Genomic DNA, 27976 nt, shown 5'->3' with positions numbered 1-27976 from the left:
TATTGGTGTATAAAAATGCAACTGATTTGTGTACACTGATCTTGTATCTTGAAATGTTACTAAATCACTTATTAAATCTAGAAGTCTTTGGAGGAGTCTTTAAAGTTTTCTAGGTATAAGATCATATTGCTAGCAAATAATTTGACTTCCTCTTTTCAAATTTGGATGCCTTTTATTTTTTCTCTTGCCTGATTGATCTGGCTAGGATGTCATATGTATGTTGTTTTTTAAAAAAATTATGTCACAATTTAAGGCTGATTTTAAGTACCCACATTGTCATCGTAAATAAATGAAGCTTGCCATGCTAAGATTTTGATAATCAACTTCAGCTGTTTCTATTTAGGAGCAAATTGTTTACCTTGATTTAAAAACTTCCCTTATCATTATAAATTAAGAAAAACTTCAAAATGTGGATAGCACCTCAAGTAACAGAACCAACCTGATAAAAACTTCCAAATATGAAATCTAAGTTTTAAATGAAATTTGTGTCTAAAACCAACATATCACCATAGTACATCTTATTATCATCTAGCCTTTAAAGAAAGACTTTCAGAAAAAAATAAAATGGACTTTTTGAACAGTTACCAGTTAACGATAATGTTGTTTTCAGGGAGGAGGTATTTCTTTTAGCTTTCTGTATTGGAAAGAGTGAAATACAAATGATAATGTTAAATAGAAAGTAATGAAAAGTTTTCACGTTTCAAAAATCACTAAGATCTCTGGCTTTTGTTCAATAATGACCTTATTAATAATAAATAGTAAGTAAATCATTCCTTTAAAAATAAAGGCTTTAACTTAAAACATGGCCTCACCCACATCCCAAATGCTCTACTAGCCTTTCCAGATAAGAGAAGAGGTCTGTACAAAGGCCGTTTAAAAAAAAAAAAAAAAAACTCTCCCTATTCTGTTTTCTTATGTTTCCTTTTTTAGGCTCTTTCATTTATGAGCTGCTTATTGCCTCTTTTGATTTCTATAATGGGCTTCATGGATTTTATTAAAAGAGTAACAGTTAAACTTGTGAAACTGGAGATATGAGTAATAAAAATGGATTTTTAAAAACTTTTTCTTCTCAGATTTTCATTTCACTACCTTATTCTCAGATTTTCATTTCAATTACTTCTCAGATTTTTATTTCAATATCATATTTTATATATACAACCACCAACTTTGAAATAACAAAACAGTATTCGGCAGGATTACATGTGCAAGCAATGGGACCAAAGCATGACTGTGGCTTAAACAAGGAAATGATAGCTTAAAAAATCATTTTCTTACTCCACATATCTGCTTCCCATATATCTTGGAAATACACTTATTTATTTATTGTATAAGCAACATTGTAACTCTTAAAAAATTTACTGTTGCATATTACCATCTAATGAGTATAAACTTATTTGGAAACAATAGAGAAGATTGTATTTCTGCGATTTCTGCATAATAGCCCAAAATGTTCTAAATGGGAAAATGTTGTTGAATTTGTGGTCATGAATGTCTTAAAATGTCTCCATGATTTGACTGTTTTGACAAAGTCAAAGAAATTGGACCATTATCTCTCTTCTCATGGCAACTTCTGGGCTTATTGGATGACAGACAAATTGCCCAAGTCACTGGTACCTTTAGTATGGCCTTCTGGGTCTGTTCTTTGTGGAGGGAATTGGGTTTTATTTACACTTTGTTCTTAGGCTTACGTTTGGGTATCTTGAACCACTGTTACCAAAGCTCTCCAAAACTTAATGCGTTATGTGAACACAAGATTTGATGAGAGAAACAGTTACAAAACAGCATGATCCTATTTTATTTAAAAAAGAAAATGAAATATATAATGAAATGTATAATGCATGTGTACGCACATCTGCACCCCCCTGTCCCATAGTTATGCACCAAATGGCAGTATAACATAGTGCTGAAAAGGTTGGGTTTTGGAGTCACACAGATCTAGGTTAAACTTTCAGCCCCAGCACTTAATCTTCACTCTTCTCAGACTCAATCAACTGAGAAGACTTAAAAATAGCACATGGTAGAGGCTTCAAAGTGCTTAAAATTGTGTCTTTATAAACTACAAATACTCATTCCCATGCTCTTCCAGCCATACCTGTGATTCTTCGTTCCACACTAACCAGCCAGGCTCAGACCTCTCAATGCTTCTCCACCAATGCTGGGTCCCGGAGTACGCTGTTGTGGTTCAAAGTTCTTAAACTCAGTATTCACAGTGTCTAACCTGCCTACCCATCACTATCTAAACATCCTGTAGATCTTTTTTAGCCAATGCCTATGTTACTCTATTATAAGAACATGCCCATCTCTATCACTCCTTGATTTGAGTCTTCTGAGACTCCTCTCATGACCTTAACTTCATAAATCCTTATTCTTAAACACATGTCCTTTGAACACCAGGATCTTTTTGTTTGAGTCTCCAAAGACCAATCTTCTCAAAGCATCTTCTAAAGGCAAATGATTCAACATCTTTGGTGTCCAGATTAATGCAGTTTTATTGTACACTAAGAATATCCATTGCTAATTAGACCTTGGATATTTACATATTTAGGTTTAATTTAAAATGAATACCATTATGCAATGTTTCATTTATGCCATCTCTCTTTATGATATACCATTAAGAAGAGTTTCTTGTGTTGCTGTATAACTTAGATAGATAAAAATAAGATGGGTGTGGTGGCTCATGCCTGTAATCCCAGCACTTTGGCAGGCTGAGGCGGGCAGATCACTTGAGATGGGAAGTTCGAGACCAGCCTGGCCAACATGGTGAAACCCTGTCTCTATTAAAAATACATAAATTAGCCGGGTGTGGTGGCACGTGCCTGTAATCCTACCTACTGGGGAGGCTGAGGCACGAGAATCACTTGAACCCGGGAGGTGGAGGGTGCAGTGAGCCGAGATAGCACCACTGCACTCCAGCCTGGGTGACAGAGCAAGACCCTGTCTCAAAAAAAAAAAAAAAAAAAAAAAGAAAAAAAGAAAAAAAGAAAGAAAGATAGATGAAAAATAAGAAATGTAGTCACATTTAAAGAAGGACCATAGGGTCTAATGCTTCTAAGTTAGAAGAAAGGTCTTTTTTCTATAACATCAGTTTTTGTGATGAAAAGGAGATTACAAAATATCACGGTGGGCCGTACTCTTACTTTGCAATTTATCCAATTACATGACAGGGGGAGGATCTGTTTAGTCATACCAAATGTTTACACAGCATTGTAGACAGCACAATCAATTTTAAAGTGCTTTCTGTTACCTGCTTTCTGCAAATAAAACCATCCTCTGGCTCTTGGGTAGATCCACTATAATTGCTAATTTCAGTGCTTTATAGGATCTCATAAAAAGAATCAAGGATAGAAGACTGGGTTGGAAACAGGTGTAGGTTGGGGATTTCAAAGCTCAGGATTTGAGATTAGTGTAGGCAAGAAAGGAGGGATGACGGCCAGAAAGTATATAGCTCGAGCATGAGTTTCTGGAAGGACCTGATTGCAATTGTTATGCTGGAGGCTCTACTGCTTCTTCACTCTTCACACTTCACTATTCCCCATTGCTTTTTGCAAAGTCTTTTTTTTTCTTGGCAAACCATGCTTACACAGATGCCGACAATGGGAAAGGACACAGGTCCCTGCTAATTGTAAATACATTGATTTATAGTAAAAGTAAGAATCTTTTCTTCTTAGACAGGGTAACTAATGACTATAGTGATGTCTTGGAACTAAAATGAGCAACAATTTTGATATATAATGGGAAAAACAAATTGAAACTAAGCAAAATCACCATTGACAAAATTTGTGCCTAAAGTGGAATGGGCCCTGAAACTCTATTGCTTTTGAATATAGGTAATTTGTTTACATTTTAATGCCTCTCTTCCTTCAGATTTGTCACTTGAGTAGTTAACAGAACTCTTTTTGATTTTGTGAGGAATTGAACATGCTCTTTAAAATCAAAGAACACATGGAATTCACTGAAAAAAAAACTTATTTACCAAACATTTCATTTTTATTCAAAAATATACAATTTTAAATATTTTCTTAGAAATGCAACCAACTTCCCCATTCTGATAAAATGCACAAAATGTATTTACAGTGCAATTTTCAGCTCTGACCTTGAGAATTTTAGCACTAGTGCAATTTGCCATTTATGCAAAAATAAATTCTTAGAGTATTATAAATTTTATATATCTTATACAAATTTATAAATTATTTTCAAAAGAGTAGACTTTTTTAAAGCACACTGATTAATTTTAGTGATATAATTTTGAACAAGGAGGCATGGCTCATTTACTATATCTTAACAATTTACAATATCATATATACATAAATTATATCATATGTATTTATTTCTAAAAGTATATTTCTTTGAAATACACCTTTTTGATTACTTTCATTTTCCTGGAAGAACAGCATTATAGATAATGTGCTAGTGAATATTTTGAGTTTGGTTCCAACAAGTTTGCTCTAAAATAAAAAACAAATGTATATGACAATTTTAATTATTACAAAGAGAACCGATATAAGCAGTCAATTCTTTTTTATAAAAGATATTTCTAATTTAGAATATGCACAAGGAATAATCTATTCTACCAGGAAAACAGAAGGAATTAACTACCTAAAACTTAAATCAGACTTGTAACTGTATCTAGTTATGATGTTACTTTTGTTGAAGCAAATCCTTCTATTACATTCACAGAACATAGATATAGAGGAACAATGTTGCAGTTACCTTTAGGTACAAATAAGTGGCTGGTTTTATTTTCTGTCAATTACTTAGGGTACCATGGAGAGAAAGAACAATATGATATAAAATTTTGCATAATTTTTTTTTTTTTCAGACGGAGACTTGCTCCGTCCCCCAGGCTGGAGTGCAGTGGCGAAATCTCGGCTCACTGCAAGCTCTGCCTCCCGGGTTCACACCATTCTCCTGACTCAGCCTCCCGAGTAGCTGGGACTATAGGTGCCCGCCACCATGCCAGGCTAATTTTTTGTATTTTTAGTAAAGATGGGGTTTCACCGTGTTAGGCAGGATGGTCTCGATCTCCTGACCTCGTGATCCACTGGCCTTAGCCTCCCAAAAAAATTTTGCATAATTTTTAGAATGGTGTATGTGCTTGGATAGAGAAATGCGGTACAGCAATGTATATGACATATAGAACATTTTATAACCAGATGCATATGTGGTTTATGTGTGTAATTGGTACAAATTATAACAAAATAACACATGCAGTTGACCCTATACCATATGACATTTTCAGACCATATTATCTTCAGCTGTTTCTAAAAAAAATCTCTGAAGACTTCATTTGTCAGTTGTATGGGTAGCTCATTATGTGGCCTTAATGTAGTATTTGCATACATTACTTGACCCTTCATTGAAAAAATGATGGATACATTAGTTTTGCTTATTTTTAAGGTAAAAATGAAGTTTTCGATGAATTTGATTAGTTATTCAATAGTAAAGTAGCCAATGTCAAGTAAGACTTAATTAACCCATGTTCTGTAAGTAAAAGTTTTTATTAATTTACTATTTTACCTTCAAGTCTAGTCATTGAATATACATATGCAATTTTCAGCATAGAAGTCATAGATTAATAAGAAAAAATAGTTCACAATTAACTAGGATACCTATATATTAAGGATATGAGCTCTTTAGCTGTCATCTGTATGTTGTATTTTCTCCCATATATAGGATGAAAAATAAACTTTAAAAATGCCACAAACAATCAAAAGTCAAACTATAAACTTGGTGGAGTCATCCTAACAAATGTATGGGGGTCATATCCTTCATATACAAAATGTATAGACAAATTTCCTCAAGAAAAGTGGGCACTGAACAGGTAAGTCACAGGGATATATTCTTAGTGGTTGATGTAAAAGATCAAAACTTTGGAAAAATGTTCAATATTACCATAAAACCAAGAAATGCAAATTAAGATGAGATGCCACTTGTTTAAAAGCCTATGTTTAAAGGAAATATCAACATATAGTTTGTATAGTTGTGGAAAAATGGGTGCTTCTTGTTTTTTGTAAATTCTTGGATAATAATTCATTTAGGCTGGTATCCTGTAAATGGGGGTAAGCCCCCTAGGGATAATAAAATTGATAAAATTATGGATATTAATCATGTTAGTTTGTTTCAGGCGTGGGATAGTAATAGGGCTGTGGTGCTTGAATTCAGATTGAGTGCTAGGAATGCAGTAGTTGTTAGGATAAAATAAATAATTAGGTTAAAGATGGTAATGTTTGGGTTATATATTAGTACTGCTATTATTCAGCCTATATGGGTGCACAAATATACGGGGTCACAAACTTAAAAAAATGTTTATGCCCAGCCGGGTGCAGTGCCCCAAACCTATAGCCCCAGCACTTTGGGAGGCCAAGGAAGGCTGATTTCTTGAGCTCAGGAGTTTGGGACCAGCCTGAGCAACATGGCAAAACCCCATCTCTACAAAAAAAGAATACAAAAGTTAGCCAGGTATGGTGGCACGCACCTATGGTCCCAGCTACTTGTGAGGCTAAGGAGGGAGGATTGCTTGAGCCCAGGAAGCTGAGGCTGCAGTGAGTTGCAATTGTGTCACTGCACGCCAGCCTGGCCACAAAGTGGGACCTTGTCAAAGATATATATATCGGCCGGGCGCGGTGGCTCACGCCTGTAATCCTAGCACTTTGGAAGGCCGAGGCGGGCAGATCACGAGGTCAGGAGATCGAGACCATCCTGGCTAACAGGGTGAAACCCCGTCTCTAGTAAAAATACAAAAAATTAGCCGGGCGTGGTGGCAGGCGCCTGTAGTCCCAGCTATTTGGGAGGCTAAGGCAGGAGAATGGCGTGAACCCGGGAGGCAGAGCTTGCAGTGAGCCGAGATCGTGCCACTGCACTCCAGCCTGGGTGACAGAGTGAGACTCTGTCTCAAAAAAAAAAAAAAAAAAGAAAAAAAAAGATATATATATCATTGTCTATAATAGAAAACAACTGAAAAGAACCAAAATCAAAATTTATAAAGGATTTGTTAAATAAATTAAGGCATATACTAACATAATTGGATATATATAATCAAAAATATTCATAAAGAATATTGAAAGATGTGAGGAATATTCCCCAAATATTAAGTGAAAAAGTATTTAATAAAACAGTACATGCCCAATTAATAAATACATCTCTATACATTATATATATATATATGATTGGCTATACATCCAAACATAGTGATTACGGTGTTATGATTACAGATGGTTTTCCTTTCTTTACCCTTTTCCGTATTTAAAACATCTTCTATAATAACCATGTTAATGATCCAGTACTGTTTCGCCAAGGATCTTTTAGAATTAAGCTATTCCATTTACGCCATTAAACAATTATGCAGTGTCCAGAGTCAGGCAAAAGAGAGAACAGGCTTGCTCAAAAACAATAGCGCAATGTTCAGAGTATTTTCTTCTCGTGGAAACAACAGAAGTAAAGGACATGCAAACGCAGGTTACTAATGCCCAATATATGGCCTCAGTGTCCCCTGCTCTGTATATATCCCCACCTAGAAAATGCCACCCTAAGTTATGTTCTCGTCATTGTTTACTCACGACTGAATGGCATTGCAGTGGCATTTGCTCCTTATTCCCAAGAGGAGTCAGTGGGGACTTTTGAAGTCTGCCATCCAAAACCTATTAATCCCTAGTACACGTGAGTTTTAGTTTGAAAATAATGTTCCCTTTTCTAGTGGTCAGCCTGATCCTGGAGTATATACCTTTTCAAGCATCAGATGAGTTAAGTTAACGAATGAATATTCCATGCCAAACCAATCTTTTTTAACTAGTTTACTCATTTTCTTGTCTTCCAAAAATAGCTTGTACTCTTATTTTTTCTTTGGAAGCCACAGTCTACCATCAAAGTTCCCTCAGAAAAATTTTGACAATTGAAAGAACTGGATTCAGTATGTTCATGCACAAAGTCCTGATTCAGTACTATGAAATGTTATTTTTATATTTTTAGATAGAATATACAACTGAAATCCTAATCCTTTGTTAAAGAATCTTAAGAATTTTTGTGAGATGACCCAAATATCCCTTACCACATGCCCTCTGCATTTAAATTTTTTTCTTTTTTCTTTGTCTTTTTTTTGAGATGGAGTCTTGCTCTGTCACCAGGCTGGAGTGTGATGGCACGATCTCGGCTCACTGCAACCTCCGCCTCCTGGGTTCAAGCAATTCCCTTGCCTCAGTCTCCCAAACAGCTGGGACTACAGGCGTGGGCCACCACACCTGGCTAATTTTTTGTATTTTAGTAGATACGGGGTTTCACCATGTTGACCAGGATGGTTTAATCTCCTGACCTCGTGATCCATTCACCTCGGCCTCCCAAAGTGCTGGGATTACAGGCGTGTGCCACCGTGCCCAGCCATTAAAAATTTTTCTATAGTGTTCTGATTGCTACTTGAAATATATCTTAAGGCTTTGGGTAAAATGTGAAAATTGGATTATAGGGAAAAATAAAAATCTTTCATGAAAACAAAGTACAATTTCTGAAGTAAATTAACTATTAATTTTATGCAGTTGCTAAAATATTTTTATAAATTAAACATTTTCTATTGCATTTGTTGTGAAATATCTTTTTACATTGTAATATATTGTTTGACACATTTTAATAAAGAATATATGAATTTTGGTAAAAGTACTGACAACATTTGTCTTCAGTCTCTCATATTTATAAAATCTAATATATATATTCTGATATTAGTATGTTTTCATTTGCTTGAATATATATATATATATATATATATATATATATATATATATTATTTTTTTTGAGACGGAGTCTTGCTGTTGCCCAGGCTGGAGTGCAGTGGTGTGATACCAGCTCACTGCAACCTCCACCTCCCGGGTTCAAGCGATTCTCCTGCCTCAGCCTCCTGAGTAGCTGAGATTACAGGCGCACACACCATGCCCAGCTAATTTTTGTATTTTCAGTAGAGACGGGGTTTCACCATGTTGGTCAGGCTGGTCTTGAACTCCTGACCTCGTGATCCGCCCACCTCAGCCTTCCAAAGCGTTGGGATTACAGGCGTGAGCCATCACGCTCGGCCTTTTTTTTTTTTTTTTTTAAAGGGGGATTTAATTGCATGTTTGTTCAAATTGTTAAGAGCACTTAAGGTAGTTTAACTCATTATATTTGAAATGTGCCTACCTTTATAATAAACAAGCATTATATCAGTGGTTGGTGATGAAAACTTTGAGGCAAAGAACTTACATGAGTACTGCCTAAAAGAACTTTCTTTAATGTCCAATACCATAGCCACTAGGTATGCAGCTACTGAGCATTTGAAATGTAGTTAACAAGACAGAAGAACTGAATTTTTATTCATTTAAATTAATGTAAACTTAAATAGCTAAAAGTGGCTACTGACTATCATATTAGGCAACTTAGGCTAGATGACTATCCAAAATTCACACAGGAATGTCCTGGAACCAGAAGTGAGATTAGAACTAGGGTCTCACTCCAGTCTCACTGATACATGTGTGGAGCTAAGCACACAGTTATTTTTGAGTGCATACATGCATTAGTGAGTCAACAAGTATGACAGATAGGTATTCTCTAGTGCCATAATAGTTTTGTTTTACATTTACATTATATTTTCTGTTATGTTTAAGAAGATGGTATAAAATACTCTTACTAAACTAGTAAAATGGAAATACTATCAAAGTCCAAATAACCAGGCTTTTTCTTGGTATTCACTTTTATGTGCAAAAGACCAAATAAATGAGACAGACTTTTAATTCAGATAAACAATGTCATGACATAATCTAGGACACCTCAATGGACACCTCCATCTGTCTTGGTCCTCTCTGACCACACTGCTGGACCCCCCAGCCACTAGATGATGTTGATCAACCTTTGATCTTGAACTCCTCCCTTTCAGCTTCCAGGGTATCCTTACTGGGTCTTCTGCCCTTCTGGTTTGCTCATCATCTTTCCTATCACTTCTTTTTCCTTCTGCCACTCAAACGTAGATGCTCCCTTTAGTTCTGCCTTGCCCCAGGTCTTTACTGTTTAAACTCTCTGATCTCTGTCCTCTCTTTCTTGATTTCAAGTCATTTTTATGTAGATAATCACCCAACTGTAATGTACTCATACATGAAAAAATAATTAGCATAGAAAAAGAATAAAGCTCATTATGTAAAGAGCGTTAACAAACTGTTTAAAAACACTGTGGGCTTTTCTTCTAACACACAAAATTAGTGTGAATGCAAGAGGTTTAGGAATAAATCTTATGAAGTCTTTTTCTTTCCTTTTCTTTTTGTTCCAGTGCATAGTATGGAAACAACTTATGTAACTAATTTATCATATAATTTTTTTATTAGGAAACTCCTAATTTAAAAACTGTCCTAATTTGTATTTCATCTAAAAAGTAAGTGATAGAAGGCTTAATTTTGAACAAATTCAATATTCTTAATTCTCTTGTGGGAACTGGAAAAGTTATACAAAGTCCATAATTTTAAAAGTAATTATATGTACAATTAAAGAAAAAAACCCATCTAGTACTTGGAATACATTTTTTCCCAAATGCATTAATTCAAAAAGATACATATATTTAAGAGTATTATTTTCTACTATTGAACTTTTAGTAGCAAATACACAGAATTTCAGCTACATTGTAATTTAAGTAGGCTTTTTGCAGGAAGGCCATTGTTTATAGAACTCTTTGTGAAATGGTTTCTATGGAGAAATGAGTTTCCAAGATGGAATTTAGATCCTTGGCAAAAACCTCTGCTGCTTAGCAGGAAGGGAATGACCCACTTCTCTTGGCATCTCAGGTGCCTGGGAGCCCTTTCTCAACCACACCCTGGAGTAGGGGGCTAGCTTGCATCCCTGCGTTCTCCTCATTACAAAAAAGAATTCTGAGAAGGAAGGTGATCTATTCCCTATGCAACCTCAGTGTCCACTGAGAAGGGAATCTTGTGGTATGGAACTATGTGGCAAAAAGGTACAAAGTATTCTTACACCTGGAATTCTTAACCTGGGGCATGCATTTTATCTAAGAGGAGAGGCTGAAGTTTCCTCCAACTTTCCATTCTAAAAAGGAACAGACATTGCTTTCAAGTGGTTTTAACTGACTTTCATTTTTGATTGGCATTTTCTTCCTATGTACAAGAAGAGTAGAAAAATCAAACATAGTTTCTAGTTGATGTTAGTAAATATAATCATTACTAAAAGTGGCCATTTGGGGAGTAATACTGTAAATACCTTAAACAACTACAGAAATGGTAATTTGTTTCTCCTGAAACCCTTAAATATTATATATAAAGTAATGGCAGTGATCAGTCCTTTAAGAGTAAGGCAACTTTCTGGATGTCACTGTTATCTTAAAGGTCTACGGAGGAAATAATATCTTGTGACATTTCTAACTTCCTAATGGTAATTGTGGAGACACAGAAGTCTGAGGCTGCCTATGGTCAAACATGACTGTAAACATTACCCACTTTTTTTTTTTTTTTTTGAGACAGAGTCTTGCTCTGCTGCCCAGGCTGGAGTGCAATAGTGGTTCGATCTTGGCTCACTGCAACCTCCATCCCCCAGGTTCAAGCAATTCTCCTGCCTCAGCCTCCCAAGTAGCTGGGATTACAGCTACGTACTAAAACACCCAGCTAATTTTTGTATTTTTCGTAAAGACAGGGTCTCACCAGTTTGGCCAGGCTGATCTTGAACTCCTGACCTCAGGTGATCCACTCACCTTGGCCTCCCAAAGTGCTGGGATTACAGGCGTGAGCCACTTTGCCCGGTCTACTCTCTCTTTCTTAAAACCTTCTTTTCCTTTAATTTTCTACCTAGCAGCTTTATTATCATTTCTGGGTCTTTTCCTTCTCCTATCACTAATTAAATAAGGAAAAATTTGAAGATTTCATTTTAATCCTTTTTAAAATTGATTCCCATATCTCTATTCCTTTCTAACCTGCACTTTCAGCTTCTATTTGGGTGCTTCCACTGGGATAGCTCATCAGCAACTAAAACTTTGCATCTTTAAATCTAAACTCATCTCTTCTCACTCAATAGCCAAACTTTGGACCTCTCCATTTCTCTTAATGTTAACACTATTTCCTGTCATCAAAACGAAAACTGGTCACCTTTTATTTCTCCCTCTCTGTTCCACACATCCACTATGTTGCATAGTCAGTCCATTTTTGCTTCATGTTGTTCATACTCGCCTTTCCTTTCCTCTGCCATTGGTATCCCTTATCACCTCATGCCTACCTGTTACTAATTCTTGTAACTGGCATCCCTGTCTTAAGTGTTTCTCCCTTCAATTTATCTGACATAATTCTTTCTGATAATCATCTAAGAGCTTGTTAAATTTTCTAGGAAAAATAAGCCACAAAGATATGTCCATTACCTCTTCATTTATCTAGTTATTTAAAAACATGTATGCCTTTAGCAGGGCTATTTGGTACATACATTTTTAAAAACACATATGCTTCTGCAGGACTGTTTGGTACCTGTTCCCACTCACACTAAGCTTTACATCAAAATTTAATGGAAAGAGACAAAAAGGAGAATGACTACTTACCATACTTTTCCCCTCAGCCTTTTGATGAAAAACCTATTAAAGGTGCATTTTGGATTTACTTATCTTACTGAATTCAGACTAGTATAAATTGCCTCCAACACAACAAAATTATGGGTTATTTTAAATCCACTGTATTCCAAATAGCTCGAATTCCTTCTTAGTGCATACCCCTTAGTTAAAATAATTTGATTTTCACTGAAAATGTCCAAGGGACACAAACAAATGCAGTTAGCATGATTACCTCTGGTAAGTGGAGAGAGGAAGAATTTTGCATACAGTACTTTTTCTTAAAAAGCACGTCTTTTTATGATAAAAAACTAATTTTAAATAGTATACCTAGAAAACGTTACACATATACCCTAGGGACTTTTTCTTGTTCTGTAATATGTTAGTATCAAATAGCAACATATTTAAATCAAGAAACTTGTGGAAGAAAGTGTCCCTTCTTGGCCTTTCCTTGATACATTCACTGTGTGACACAGCTTGTTATGTCTAAGTTCTTTTCCTTATTCATCCTGACACAGAAGCAAAGTAGCTCCTGAAGGGGGAAGGGGAGGGATGGAGGGGCGGGGAGGGGGGGATTGACAGAGAGAGAAAGACAGAGAGAAAGAGAGACAGGAACCATTTAGTCCTAGGGCAAATCGCTGAGCGTTTATTAGAAAAAAATGCATGCTCATCATATGGAAAAATAATTAGCACATAAAAAGAATAAAGTTCTCATGTAAGGATCATTAAGACTTTTTTAAAAAAAAACAACACAATGGCTTTTTATAAAATGACTCAAAGGCTTTATCAATAAGGAGTTTCCGATCACTCAGAAAACATCCTCTCTCTCTCTCTCACACACACACACACACACACACACACTCTCAAACACACACGAGTGCGGGCGATTATCAAGGCTTGTAAAGGAATAACTGGTTAAAATAGTTGCAAAATGTTTTCTTCGTTATCCTCATCACACCTCTCCTGACAGCTTTATTTCTTCTCTCGAACATAAATTTCCTCCTTATGCTTTTCTGGATGTAATTTCCTATTGTAATCTGAATTTTCTGGGAAGATAATTGCCACAGGAGTGGATATAGCTCTACTAAAAGGATAAGCGGGCAATCTACATTCGAGTTTTTTTCTTTTTTTAAACAAAAACTGATGGACTCCGCCAAAGGGGAGTCTGGACGGTTTATGGGAATGCAGAGCTGGGTGGAAAGTCTTTCTGCGAGTGGGAAGTATCCCTTCTCCTCGTTTGCCCAGGTTCTCCCCACGCCTCGGGCTGCGGCCAGCTTTGGCTCGCTTCTCTGTCTTTGCAACCTGGTTCCTGACTCTGCCAATTCATATTACAGATGGGCCTGCGGGTGCTGCACCGGGGTGACAGCAGTCCTGATGGGCCGTGCAATTCTGTAGTGGATCCAAGTCGGTACACGGATGCACAGATACCTTTGACTGCCTCTCGCAGGACTTGGATTTTTCCTGTTTTTTGGTGCGGCATCCGGGTGGTTCTGACACCCTAAGACTGCTCCTCTGCTCCTCCTCTCCCGCAAGGCTTCCACTCCAGGGCCCCTGTCCCCCTTTCGCTAGCACTCGCGCACCCCTCGCGCTTCCTCCCGCCGGGGAACCCTCGCATTTCCTCCTTCCCCTCCCAGCCTTGCCTTCTTCCCCGCCCGCCTCCAGCCACATGACCGGAAGGGCTCCGCCACGCGACGTCACCGACGTCCGCGCCCCCGCCCCTGGCCTCCCCCCACCCTGCACGCAAGGGGCGGCCGGCTGAGGGGCGAACGTGGTCCGCGCGCTCAGCGTTCCCCAACCAGAGCTCGCCAGAGCGCCGCGGCACTCGCCGCCCAGCGGGGCGCGCAGGTTCCCGGATGTGCGGCGCTCGCGGAAGCCCCGCCCCCGCCCCGCGCGCTGCAGCACTCCGCTTTCCCCTCCCTCTCCGCCCTCCCCTTTTTTCGTGCCTTGAGGTTGCGGGTCAGCGCGAGCCGCTGCAGTGAGTCCGTCACGGCTCCGGCGCGAGCGCGAGGCTGCAGCCCCCGAGTTTCCCGGCCGTCTTCGCCCCCTCTCCCCCTCCTTTCTTCTTCTCTGCCTCTCCTGCCTCTCGCCGCTGCTCCTCCCGCGCTCTCCGGCTCTGAATCTCGACCTTAATTTATTTCCCCCTACCCTGCCCGCTCCCTCGCGTGCCCAATCGCCCGGCCGGCGCGGGCCCCGCGGCGCCGCCTCCCCTCCCCCACGCGCGCCCCCTCCCCGCCGGCGACCCGAGGGCCGCAGCTGGGCCGCCGCCGCCGTTTCCTGCGAGCCAGCCTGAGCGCAACACTTCTCCGAGCCAGCGAGCCAGCGAGCCGCCGACCCGCCGAGCAAAATGGTGAGACCTTGGCTTCCTCGATGCACCATCCCTCCCCCTACTGCCGCCGTCCGGGTCGGGTGCGGGGGCGAGCCCCGACGCCCCCGGTCGGCTGTCCCCCGTGGAAAATTCCAGAGACCCGGGCCCGGCGGGTCCCGCGGCGGTTGCGGGCGAGCCGGAGAGGGCGGCGGGGCGGCTGCTGACAGGACGGCGGCGGGGCCCCCGCGCCCGCCCCCGGCCTCTGCGGGGCGCCCCTCTGCTGCTCGGCCGCCGCCCCGCCGTCGCCCCACCCCCGCGCCGCCGGTCCCGCCCGGCATCGACCCCCGCGGGCACCGCTGACCATCAGCCCGGCGCACTCTCCTTCTCGCGACCCTCCTCCACGTGGAGCACCCCCCTCCCCTCCACACTCACTCTGTTTTTCGAGTTCGAGGGTATTCTGAAATCCTTTGGAAATAACAATATGTGGCAAATGGCACTTTACATAAGACCCACTTACTCTCCAGAGCTGCTGCTGCTTCCACTCACTGCCTGTTTCCCAGCAGTGAGTCTTGGCAGGGAACCCTGCCACTCACTTCCCCTCTCCTGCGAGCGTCGGTTTAGCTGCGGTGCGCAGCCCTGCGGGGTTTCCGTTCGCTGCTGCTTTGCTCGCTGCCCTGGCGAACCGGAAAGATCCAAGGTGTTTGTTCACGAAAACATACGCGAACTTGGTTTGGGAGAAATGGGGGCGCTTAATTTTTCATGCTTCCGTTACTACCAAGGGTTTTTTCATTTTCTTTGGTACCTTCTTGTGTCTCTCTCTTGGAGTGGTTGTTTTTGAATCATGGCGATTTTAATTTGTCTTTCCTTACCCTCACATTAATCCCTAGGTAGAATTCGCTGCTGTAGTGTTTCAGACCGACGCTAGGGGTGTGTCTCCCGCCTCTGTCGCTGCAGCCAAGAAATCAACGACGCCCTTTTAGCCTGTTACCTTACCGGTTCTCTCGCTCGGGGAAGCCCTAGTCGTTAGTTTCCTCTTTGTAATCAAGAGTTGTATACACAGTAGAGAAAGTTCAGAGTGCTATTCCGCGTATATCAGATACTCCATCATGCGATTCAGTTATTAGGCTTTCTCTAAAAGTCTTTGAACAGTTGTCAGAAGACTTAAACTGGTTGACGGTGGGTAATTTCTCGCATCTTTTCCACTGTATGGTATCCCACCCTGTATGTAGAATTTAAGTGCTTCAGTGTACGTGGTGGATTACTGAAGGGAGGAATGCTGTTGCTTACAACTTAAAATCGATTTGGTGAAATCGATTTTAAGGGAAGAACGTGAAATTAGAATATTCAGGTAAGTCAGCTTTTATTTAAAATATAGGGCAAATGAGTAAGTGCTTACTGGTGCACTTAAAACCCAGATTAAGAGCAGACTTAAATGATTGCCGATTTTGATGTGTAGAGAAAGTTTTTCCTTGCCAACTTGCGAGGCAGCTCAGAGAGGCAACTTTGGCACCTGAAAGTCACAAAACAATTTAGGAAGATCATAGCCATTCATCATATAATCTTTTTGTTGGCATAGTCTTTTGAAGTGAAGAATTGCATTTCAGTGCTTTAATAGAATTTCCTTATGCACATGCTTTACTTGAAGGTCAGGATCTTGAAGATCTTTGTTCATTGCAGGGAATGTTTTTACTTAGCTTTATAAACAGCACATTTGAGGAACAATGATCTAGCCTTTTGTTGTTTATATATTATACAGCGAAGTGGTATGGTTTCCAAATAGTAACTCTCTTGCGGTGCACCCCGTCCTCTGTTTTTTGAACAACAGACTGAAACTGGGAAGTTCTCTTTTAGCTCTTCAATTTCTTATTTTCCTGTTAACTCTGTTTTCTTGTCTTTTAAAATATTTTACGGTGTATCAGACGATGTTGTTTCCTGCCAGGTCATTATGTTCCTTTTCTTCCCAGCTCCCTTTTCAGTATTTATTTCCTAATTCAACTGTTGGGTTTTTTTTTTTCCTCTTTCATCCTCCCAATACCATTTCAGGACCTACATAATGTTGGCAGTGGCTTTCCAACTTTAGGGTTATTTTGGTCTGCTGAATACAGTACTGGTTTGAAAGTATCAAGACCATACCCATAACTCAACTTTGCCATATGGGATGTCGATTAACCCAAATAAATCAGGCTTTGGAGTGATCTGGTTAATTTTTCTGGTTAATTGAACATACAATTCTGAAAACTTTCACACCCTTTGGAAAATCTCTCTTAGAACTCTTATTATTTACATTCTGTCAACAGCATTTACAGTATGAAATATCACTAGTTAATTCAAGTATGGAAAGTAAAAAGGCTTATAAGATTTAAATGTACTCTCAAGGATCTTTTCTGACAGGTATTAATTTTAGTTGGTGCCTTAAACGTAGTTTATTTTTTTTTTTCCTGAAAGTTAAAGTCTTTCCCTCCCTTCACCCTTATTTGAGTTTTAAATTGTTAAGCGTCCAGGGAGAATGAAGGTTATATGTTAAAAAAAAAAATCTTGTAAATAGTGAGCTCCTAGGAATTTCCCCTGAACGAGGTGTTTTATATATGTTTTTGTTGAAATAGATAATACGGATTTTGTTCTGGATACTTAAATGAACATAATATAAAGGTAATTGTTTTACGTTTTGTTTCTTAAGGGAACTTTAAATTTTATAAAGGCCTTTTCATGTCTTTGTGCTTTTAAACTTTTAAATTTTTTTTTATCTCCATGATCTGCATCTAGAACTTAAAACAAATTTATTGCCGTCTATAACTGTATGTAGAGTTTTACACAACATATTCTAGTTCAGATTCTGTGGCAAAGGCCACTTTTTAGAAAAAAAAAAACCTGTCTTATGACCAGCGGAATTAAAATTCACATCTGTCCTGAGAAAATTTATCCACTCATTTTGTCCCATAGTGAATGAGAAAATTAAAATGGTTCAAGGTATAAAGTAAAGAAGCTGACTAAGGGTCAGTCAGCAATGAGAGGGACAGACAAGTATGGAAGGATCAGGCAACTGTTATAGGTAGTAAGGCAGTATAAGGAAGTCACCTTGGGCCAGGAGGATATTAAGTCAGACAGTGGGCCTGGAGTCTGGGGCAAGCAACAGGGATTCATTCCTATCAACAAATACTTGTAGATTTTGTCTGCCGTTTACTGGTTGTTGTGCTCTCTGTTGTGGAGGATATTGCAATGATTAAGGCAGGTTTCCTACCTTCATTTAAGTAGAGAATGTAAGACAAATGGCAGTAACCGTGAAGTAAGTTAGCATGTGATGAGTGTCATATGAATAGTACACACAAAGCATGATAGAAATTTAAGAAGGAGCAAGATCATTTTCACCTGGGATTAGGAAAAGTTTTATGAAGGAGGTGGTAATTGAGCTAGCTGGGTCTAAAAAGATCAGCGTTGCAGTAGGCAGAGTTGGAGGCATCTAGAAGAAGGCACTTTAAATCCTAAAGGGAGGAAGAGACAATGTACATTTGGAGCACTGATGGTTCCCGAACCAACAGCAACAGCATCATCTGGAAACTTGTCAGGCCCCACCCTGGAACAACTGAATCCAAAATTCTGGAGATGAGCCAAGCAGTCTTAAGTTTTATAGGTCTTCCAGGTAATTGTGATATAGGCTGAACTTTGAGAACCACTGTTTAGAGAATAGGAAGGAATGTGTAAAGTTGAGTCAAGCGTCTCTTAATGTACCTAGCACTAACTATATGTACTTAAGACATAATTGTTATCTACAAGGAAATTAATCAAGTAGGGTAAATAAGACAGTGATTATGCAGTGTGCTATGTGCTATTAACAGACTAAACATGGGATGCTGTAAGAGCACATGGCAGGGAAGAGGCTTAATCCACACTGGGGATGAATGTCACTTAAAGTTTCCTGGAAGAAATGGTGTCTGAACTGAGTCTTGAAAGGATGAGTATTTAGCCAGTGAGGAAGGGCACACCACATAGAGAGCTTCTGTTCGAAGTCATGGAAGCATGAGATATACAAGCCATCCAGAGAACTACAGTGTTAGTTTAGCGTGGCTGGAGAGGAAGGGGGTAGTGTCTGGTGGATTGACACTAGATCATAGAGGGATTTGCATATCATGAAGGAGTTAATCTTTTTTCTCCTAAAAGCAGTGGGAAGTTATTTTCAAGCAGGAGAATGACATTGTCTCATTTACTTTTTTAAAGAGACCATTCTGATGGCCGGGTGGATAATAGGATAGATGAATCTAGACATGAGGATTCAGAAATAATTATAGTAATTTATATGAGACAGAAGGATGTGAAAGAATACAGTAACAATGCAGATAGATAGTAGGGATCCTACAGGAGATACATTTAGGCGGTAGAAGAAAGAACTTGGTAACTATTGGATTATGGGGAAGAAAAGAGGTGGTGAATTCTGCTTTGGTTTCTGGCTTTGGATAATGCTATCCACCCAGCAAATATTTGTTGAGCACCTACTTGGTTAAGGTTAGGTTTTAGGAATACATGGGGAATACTGTTCCTGTCCTCGAGAAACTTCCAGTTTGCTGGGATGACTATTGTTTCATCTCTAGGCTTCTATTATTTGGTAATTAGTGCTTGGGATGCTATGTTGCAAGACTCCAATTTCAATAGGATAGAGTGCTGTGAAATATTAACAGTGCCTGCTACATACATGTCATGGCCTAGGAGAAACAGAAAGAACTTGATAGCCTGGAGGTAGAAAGAGGCACATGTGTTTGAACAGTGATTCTCAAGAAGTGGATCCTGGACTAGCAGCATCAGTATCATTTGGGACCTTGTTAGAAATGCACATTCTCCTAGGAGATGTAGGAGAAGAAGGTTTTGGGGGAGTGATGAGAATTTTTATTTTTGCACATGCTGAATTTAAAGGAATCATGGGTGGGCTAGGCACAGTGGCTCATCCCTACAATCCAAGCACTTTGGGAGGCCGAGGCAGATGGATCTTGGGCTCAAGAGTTCCAGACCAGCCTGGGCAACATGGTGAAAGCCCATCTGTACAAAAATACAAAAATTAGGCGGGCACAGTGGCACACGCCTGTAGTGCCAGCTACTCAGGAGGCAGAGGTGGGAGGATGGCTTGAGCTTGGGAGGTGGAGGTTGTGGTGAGCCAAGATTGTGTGACTGCACTCCAGCCTGGGTGACAGAGCAAGACTGTTTTGGGGGGCGGGAGGTGGGCAGGGAATAGTAATCTTGGGTTATCTAGGTGATTATGGCCAACAGGTAATTGGCTACCTATATCTGGAGCTCATAAGAGACATCTGGGGCTTGCATTAAAGATTTGAGCATTGTCTGTGCATTTATATTAGGTAGTAGTTGAAGCCGTGAAACTGGATGAAATCCTGTGTAGAGAGAATATAAAATGAGACGTGAAGAGAGTGAACTCTAAAGATGGTGCATGTAAAAAGGCAGGTAGAGGATGAGGAGCCTGTGAAGTTTGTCATTGAATAGCCAGAGAGATAGTTGGGAAATGAGCAGCATAGCATGATGCCAGATTGAAGGGAGTCTTAAAGAGGAAGGAGTCAGCAGTGAATAGATACTGCAGAGATCAAGAAAGAGAACTTAAAGATGTCTTTTGGAGATAACAGGAGAGTTTTGATGACTTGGTCAATAGTAGTTTGTTGTAATGGTGGCAAGGGAAGCCAGGAGGTAGTGAGACATTGAATTTAGATTGCTTTTTAAAGCTTTGAGTAGCAGAGAGGGTGAAAGCTAGAGAATTTAGTTTTGAGGAAGGATTTATCTTGGGGTTGAAAGAAAAAGTCAGAGCCGGGCACGGTGGCTCACTCCTGTAATCCCAGCACTTTGGGAGGCTGAGGCGGGCGGATCATGAGGTCGGGAGTTAGAGACCAGCCCGACCAATATGGTGAAACCCTGTCTCTACTAAAAATACAAAAATTAGCCGGGTTTGGTGACGCGTGCCTGTAATGCCAGCTACTTAGGAGGCTGAGGCAGGAGAATCACTTGAACCCGGGAGGCGGAGGTTGCAGGGAGCTGAGATTGTACCAGTGCACTCCAGCTTGGACGACAGAGCAAGACTCTGTCTCAAAAAAAAAAAAAAAAAAAAAAAAAGAAAGAAAGAAAAAGTCAGTAAAAAGGGTAAAAAGGGAGAGATTATCTTTTGAATCTTTTCAAAGAGAAAAGACAGGATTATTGACAACTTAATGTCTCCAAGGAGGTAGAAGGGAGTTTATGACTCTCCTTAGACAAGAAGGGGAATTTTTCTCATCCTTTTAACATGAAAGAGAAGGAGAAAAAGATGAAAACTATTATGTAGGTCATATAAGAGTTTAGGCTGGAAAGGAAGTCATGTGTTAAGTTGTAAATGGTTTAACTGTTTTGAGTTCAGTTTGGTCCCATTGGGGAACCATTGATTAATCTGGAAATAAGATGCTGGGTGACTTGGAAAGGGTGGAAACTAGATGAGGTGAGTTCCACAAAGGAATACTGCTTTATAGTATTACAAGTATGAAGTTATAAGGATTTGAAAGCAAATAAAAATGGAGGCATTTTAAATATAGAGTTGAAAAGAGTTAGAAACTGATGATGAGGAAACAGTCATGAAGGATGACCCAACCTAGTGATTAGATATAAAGATAGCACATTACAAATAAAACCAGGAAAGTAAGAGTGAGTTGCTGGTGAAAAGTAGTGTTAGAAGAAGGTGAGCTTGGTTTTAGATAGTTAATTTGATAGGCTTGAGACATTATACTGTAATTATTTAACAAATGTGATAATGTACTTGGAAAATAAACTGAATAATTTTTTTTTCTTTTTGGAGACAGGATCTTGCTATTTTGCCCAGGTTGGAGTGCGGTGGTGCGATCTCAGCTTATTGCAGCCTCCACCTCCCAGGCTCAAGCCATCCTCCCTCCTCAGCCTCCCAAGTAGCTGAGACTACAGGTGCACACCACTACACCCAGCTAATTTTTGTGGAGACAGGGTCTTGCCATGTTGCGCAGGCTGGTCTCAAACTCCTGAGCTCAAGCAGTCTGCCCACCTTAGCCTCCCAGAGTGCTGGGATTACAGTCGTGAACCACCAGGCCTGGCCTAGAAGTAGAATATTTGAGTCAGGGTAATAGCTGATTGGATAGTTGTAAAGATGAAGATTAAGAAAATACTGATGGAATGGTCATTAGAAGAATATTGATAATTTTTAAGACTAACTTCAGTCATGTCCTAGGTGACAAACATAAGATTGCAGGGGAAAGTAAACTCTGTGAATGCAGAAGCCTTGTCTTTGTCTTTTCGTTCTTATATTCCAGATACTTGGTATATGGTAGATGTTAAGTACTATTTGAAGGAGTATGTGAAGTGGAATAAAGGAAAAGGTGCTTATCGGACATTGAAGGCAGTGAGTGTCAGTTTCTTTTTTTTTTGAGACATTTATGAAAGAAAGACAAAGGATAATTAACTTCAGTGGTTTACAGTTGGAGTAAGTTCTTTTTTGGTAAGAGAAAGATGGGGATATTCTTGAGAATTAGAAAAGCCAGGAGAGGGAGCTGTAAGAGCGTGATTAATGGAATGAGCTCTAGAAAAGTTAAAAAGAAGAGGATAAAAGGAAAGGATAGACATTAAAAGAGAGAGAAAAAATCAGAGTGAAGAGAAATAGGCCATGGCAACAGATATGTTTTAATAATGGAGTTCATAGCAGGTGGCCTAAATCATCTTAGTATCTCAGGATAATTTGAGGCAAGTTAATTTGCTGAGGTTGACATTGAGCCTGAGGGAACTGGGGTGGTTTTGAGGGGTGAGGGCTGTGGAAGAGGATTGTGTTATCCAGTTTGGGGAATTGTTAGGCAGTTAACAAGGTAATAAATAAATATAACTAAATGGTAGCTAGGACCTAGGAGAAGGCAGCAGTTGGTCAGTGACCTAGGAAATAAATCTAGAAAACAGGGGTTTTAACCAGAAAAGAGCTTAATACTTTGGCAGTCTTTGCTTTATTAACTCAGATTTGTTCTTCTGATCAATTTACATAGGTCTAAAAGGAATCATTTTTTGAGTTCAGCTTTTAAGGAAGGGGAAACATGTTTTAGATCCGTATGTTAATTTTTTTTCCCTAAAGTTCTAAAGACACTACATTAATGTAGTCACTTAAAAATTCAAATGATATTGAAAGATCTAAAATGGAAAGTAAGTCTTCCCTGGCCACCCCTCCCCCAGTATTAAGTTTCTTGTTTATATATTCTTCGAAGAGTTTTTTGTGTGGGGTTTTTTTCCTTCCTTTTTTTTCCCGCCTGTGGCAACATATGGATTTTATTATAATTTAGTTCTTATTAAAAAGATTGATCGTAAAAGTTTTAATGATACGCTACTTATTACAAACTATAAGTAAACTCATAGTTTACTCATTACAATCAGTTTTAGTCCAAAGTTTTAATGGTATTTTAAATGTAAACAATGAGTCAGAAATAATTGATAAATCTAATTAGGTAACAATTTTATAGTGATAGAGGTTGTTACTTTAACGAGGGTCTGAACTATGACCATGTTCTTAAGAAATTACTCTGGGGAAAATAACATTTTACTAGAACTTTTTTTTGTACTTATTTCTACCTAATATCTTATTAAACATAACATGGATAACAAATTATTAAAAGAGAAAATAGCTTCTGAAGTATAATGGATAAAGCGTCTTTTTTAACTCAAGCTTGATTGTTTAAAATTTATTCCTCATTTTTACCCTTCCAAGTAAGCCTTTTCTCCAGTAGCCCTCATCTTTTCTTCCCTTTCTGAATTTTCTCCATAGACTCCATAATAAAGGAAACTTATGGTCAACATCTCCTCAGTGTTTGTGAATTGACAGTATAATTCTGACTAATTTATAGGTCTGGCGCAGGAATAACATTTTGATAAATGTATTCCTGGGTTTGTCTTTGGATTTTATAGTCTTGTACTATGAAATATTTAAAATGTTTGAAGATTTCTGTAGGAAATCTTTTGAAATTTAGCACTAATAATTTAAACAATTCATAGATTCCTATACTGTTCTTCCTCATAGAGTTTTGTTTTGTTTTTTAAATATTTCTTGTAAGTAGTAAAAAGAGGGCCAAATTGGTAGCCCTGTTGGTATCCCAAAAAAACATTCCTGTAGATGAGATGTTACATTGACTTGTTTTTCTGGTGTTGGTAAAATCACTGGTGCGTTGACCAGCTCTTTTTCTAAAGAACACAGAGTATTCATTTTTATTTTTATGTTAGAATTAGGTATGCATTTTAAAACCTAGTTACAATAGAATGAAGCATAGCAGCCTACAGAAAGGATGTTACCCTTGGCCCTTACTAGCGCTATCCATTAGTATTTTATTTTTAATCTGTCTAGATTCAGGGATGATTTTCTTTCATATCCTCCTGAGTGTAATGCCATAAGCAAGCCCCTATTTTAGGCATGCAGTATGCTGGCATTGTCTAGTATTTCTTGTAAGGCAATCTTTAATAAAAATTGGAATCTCAGGAAAAACACGTGATAATGGGCAATAAGATAAATCTGTACTTACATATTTGTTCATGGTGCACCTGTGTTCCCTAACAAATAGAATTTCATGAATTATAAACTAACTTATACTCTTTCTCAAGTAAAGAGTGAACTTATAATCAGAGGAATACTTCAGCTGTATCTTGCTGTCTGGCAGTCACGCTGCTTTTACCTTGCTTCTGGACTGTTAACGTCTGTTCGTACATTTCTTGTTTTTCTTTTCTTTTTTTTTTTTTTAGACGGAGTCTTGCTCTGTTGTCCAGGCTAGAGTGCAGTGGCGCAATCTTGGCTCACCGCTACTTCAGCCTCCTGGGTTCAAGCAATTCCCCTGCCTCAGCTTTCGAGTAGCTGTGATTGCGGGTGCGCACCACCACACCCAGCTAATTTTTGTATTTTTAGTAGAGACAGGGTTTCACCATGTTGATCAGGCTAGTCTCAAACTCCTGACCTCATGATCCGCTTGCTTCAGCCTCCCAAATTGCTGGTATTACACGCGTGAGCCACCGCGCCTGGTGCATTTCTTGTTTTTCAGTCCACCACAGTTCAGTGATGTTTAATTCAGTAGACACTAGCTGTATGTGGTTGTTTAAATTTTAAAGTTAATTAAAGTTAAGTAAAAGTGTAAATTCAGTTCTTCATTCACAATATCTACGAGTACACAATAACTACATGTAGGTAGTGGCTACTGTGTTAGTGTAGATAAAGAATGTATCCATTGTGGCAGAAGTTTCCATTAGATACTGCTTGTCTACAATGATTTTGCACCTGCATGTCAATGAAACTTACATTGGTAGTAATCTTTTTTTTTTTTTTTTTTTGAGATGGAGTCTTACTCTGTGGGCCAGGCTGGAGTACAGTGGTGCAATCTCGGTTCACTGCAACCTCCACCTTCCATGTTCAAGTGATTCTCCTGCTTCAGCCTTCTGAGTAGCTGGGATTACAGGCATGTGCCTCCGTGCCTGGCTAATTTTTGTATTTTTAGTAGAGACGGTATTTCACCATGTTGGTCAAGTTGGCCAGCTCCTGACCTGGTGATCCGCCCACCTTGGCCTCCCAAAGTGCTGGGATTATAGGCCTGAGCCACTGTGCCCGGCCACATTGTCAGTAATCTTCTAATTACCAGCATGAGATTTGGAGTTGGGAAGATCTGAATTTAGATTCTGGCTCTGCCATTTATTAGCAATGTGACCTTGAACAAATATCATAAGCTCTCTAGACCTTATTTAGTGCAGTACATATGTATATAAAGTGGGAATAACAACACCTTAAATTGTGACATATACAGTTGGCCTTCCATGCCCATGAGTTCTGGGTCCATGGATTGAAAATACTTGGGGAAAAAAAATAAAAAATAACAATGAAAAATAATACAAATAAAAATTTAGTATAAATACTATTTACATTGTATTAGATATTGCAAGTAATCCAGAGGTGATTTAAAGTATACAGGAGGATGTGTGCATAGGTTACATTCAAATACTATGCCATTTTATATCAGGGACTTGAGCATCTGTGGAGTTTGGTTTCTAAGAGGTGGGGGTGGGGAAATGGGACCAGTTCCCAGTGGATACTGAGGGACCACTGTAGAGCGTCTAGAGATCCCATAGGTATTCATTAAATGCATTTGGTTTAACATTTTTCTTCTTTGTAATGTTGGACCTTGTCGGGAACTCTTGAAATTCTCCTCTTTTGGCTTCTGCGACCTTTTCTACTATTGCTAGTTGCTATTTCTACCTCTCTGACCATTTTTAGTCTGTTTCCAGCCTTTGATGTAGGTTTGGTCCAAGACTCTCTCAAATATGATTGTATTACTTTCCCGTTTAAAATTCCGGCATTATAAAGACTGAAATCTTCAACATAGCCTAAAAGACTCCATGAATTCTTCATCTGCTTACTTCTGTCCCTTCCACCATGTTCCTACTTGTTTTCTGTGCTCTAGCCACTTGGCCTTGTGTCATTCACCCAGTATCGTTTGCTATGTTTATTCCACCATCTGAACCTTTGCATATGCTACTGGAATGCCTCAAAAGTCCCTCAGTTAACTAAGGGGGAGCCATACACTCCCAGAGCAGGTCAGGTCATGTTCTATGTTACACTCTTTTAGTACCTTTAATGTTTCCTTTGTAGCACATAATTGATTAGTTTTGAGATGTTTGGTCGCTTTCTGTCTCCCCATGATTTAATGTGAACTCTGTGAGAATGGGCATCTTGTCTGTTTTGTTTTTCATCTGTTAAAAGGAAAAAATCTTCATACAAGTTCAATTTAGCAGAGTTTGAGAAAGAAAACTCTGCGTATGGGATAGCTCTCAGAATCAGAACAGATCTAAGAACTCCAACAAGCAACGTGGTCTAGTAGTATTTATAGGTAGAAAATAGAAGTGAAGTATAAGACAGAAGTGAGGTACAGAGCTTAATTGGTTACAGGTCGTTTGTCTTATTTGAGTCATTGGTTGCCTGCGATTGACTGAAGCTCAGCTGCTGTAATTGGCTGAGACTCAGTTGTGTTATAAAATTACAAATGCTCCTTGACTTACGTTGGGGTTACATCCCGATAAACCCATTGTAAGTTGAAAATGCGTTGAATACACCTAATGTACATCTTAGTCTAGCCTACCTTAAATGTGCTTAGAACACTTACATTAGCCTACAGTTGGTAAAATAGATAACACAAAGCCTGTTTTGTAATACTTACATAATTTATTGAAAACTGTACTGAAAGTGAAAAACAATGGTTTTATGGGTACCATCATAAAGTTGAAAATCAACCGCTTTAAGTTAGCGACCATCTGTGTACTCTTAGGTTTTCATTTGGTTTACTGAGCTAGGCAGTGATTATGTAAGGACTCAAATGCAGAGGCATCCTGAGGCCAAATTTAGGCTAATTTAACAACTTTTATATACTGCCGCTGCCAGCATAGGACCCTACACATTATAGAAATTCATTAAATATTTCTTGAGTGAATGCACAAATTCCTTGTTTTTTCCCCCCACCCCAAAGTTTCATCTATTTCTTGTGTACTGATGATTCATTCGTATTTTTCAGGCCACATCGTTCTCTTCTCCAGTCCATAGTTCTGCTTACTGGATACTATTTAAATAAGGTTGTTTCTAAGACACCTCAAACTCAACTAAATGTAACCAAAACCACATTCATTTATCTTCATGTTGATGCTTCATTATTCTCTGTTTTTTTCTTAATGGAAACAGTGTCTATCCATGCACTTTTACCTGGAAACCTTGTACAGTCATACTTTTTTACTCTCTTCACTTCTAAGTCTTAAGGCAGTTTTCAGTGGCACTTCATATATTGTTTATTTCTGTAACACAAATTGACTTATATTCTGTCAGTAAACAGGGAAACATAATATTCCCAGCATATTTATGTTTTGTGTCACCAAGTGGTGGTAGATGAATTCAAAATATAGGAACACAGCTGAAAGCAGCAAGCTACAGAATACGGTACTGTATACTGTCCGTTTAGTTCACATCCTTCCTCTTGACTCATATTGGCTATTTATCTGTGTTGGAACAATTTATTGCACAACTCTTCTAGATCTTTATGCATTTTTCCTTGTTTTAATAACTTTGCTTCAAATAATCCTTACATCTTTTTCTGTTACTTTCGTCT

The 27976-nt window shown here is 39.0% G+C and overlaps 1 protein-coding gene and 1 long non-coding RNA gene across 3 annotated transcripts in view, besides 4 other annotated features; one reads left to right on the top strand and one right to left on the bottom strand.

Annotated features, from left to right (window-relative positions):
- PPP3R1-AS1 (PPP3R1 and CNRIP1 antisense RNA 1) overlaps window positions 1-15407 on the bottom strand; it is a 48404-nt gene extending 32997 nt beyond the window's left edge. For both annotated transcript variants that reach the window (XR_001739526.2, XR_001739527.2), the window contains exon 1: window positions 15276-15407. This is a non-coding gene — a long non-coding RNA (PPP3R1 and CNRIP1 antisense RNA 1). The remainder of the gene's footprint in view (window positions 1-15275) is intronic.
- Window positions 13359-14028: an enhancer, noted in NCBI's record as "H3K27ac hESC enhancer chr2:68480114-68480783 (GRCh37/hg19 assembly coordinates)". NCBI's record gives its function as "activates a minimal SCP1, AML or CMV promoter by ChIP-STARR-seq in primed H9 embryonic stem cells {active_cell/tissue: H9 hESC(primed)}" and the evidence as "EXISTENCE:reporter gene assay evidence [ECO:0000049][PMID:30033119]".
- Window positions 14119-14558: a silencer, noted in NCBI's record as "silent region_11588". NCBI's record gives its function as "represses an Ori minimal core promoter by ATAC-STARR-seq in GM12878 lymphoblastoid cells {active_cell/tissue: GM12878}" and the evidence as "EXISTENCE:reporter gene assay evidence [ECO:0000049][PMID:35858748]".
- PPP3R1 (protein phosphatase 3 regulatory subunit B, alpha) overlaps window positions 14478-27976 on the top strand; it is a 73676-nt gene continuing 60177 nt past the window's right edge. The window contains exon 1 of the mRNA NM_000945.4: window positions 14478-14885. Within this exon, the coding sequence (NP_000936.1) occupies window positions 14883-14885 (3 nt within the window). The 5' untranslated portion in view covers window positions 14478-14882. The remainder of the gene's footprint in view (window positions 14886-27976) is intronic.
- Window positions 14819-14868: a silencer, noted in NCBI's record as "silent region_11587". NCBI's record gives its function as "represses an Ori minimal core promoter by ATAC-STARR-seq in GM12878 lymphoblastoid cells {active_cell/tissue: GM12878}" and the evidence as "EXISTENCE:reporter gene assay evidence [ECO:0000049][PMID:35858748]".
- Window positions 15049-15158: a silencer, noted in NCBI's record as "silent region_11586". NCBI's record gives its function as "represses an Ori minimal core promoter by ATAC-STARR-seq in GM12878 lymphoblastoid cells {active_cell/tissue: GM12878}" and the evidence as "EXISTENCE:reporter gene assay evidence [ECO:0000049][PMID:35858748]".

Source organism: Homo sapiens, chromosome 2, assembly GCF_000001405.40.
Source record: "Homo sapiens chromosome 2, GRCh38.p14 Primary Assembly".
Classification (NCBI taxonomy): Eukaryota; Metazoa; Chordata; class Mammalia; order Primates; family Hominidae; genus Homo; species Homo sapiens.
Note: the sequence above shows the minus strand (reverse complement) of the source record. Positions and strands in the feature narration are given on the sequence as shown.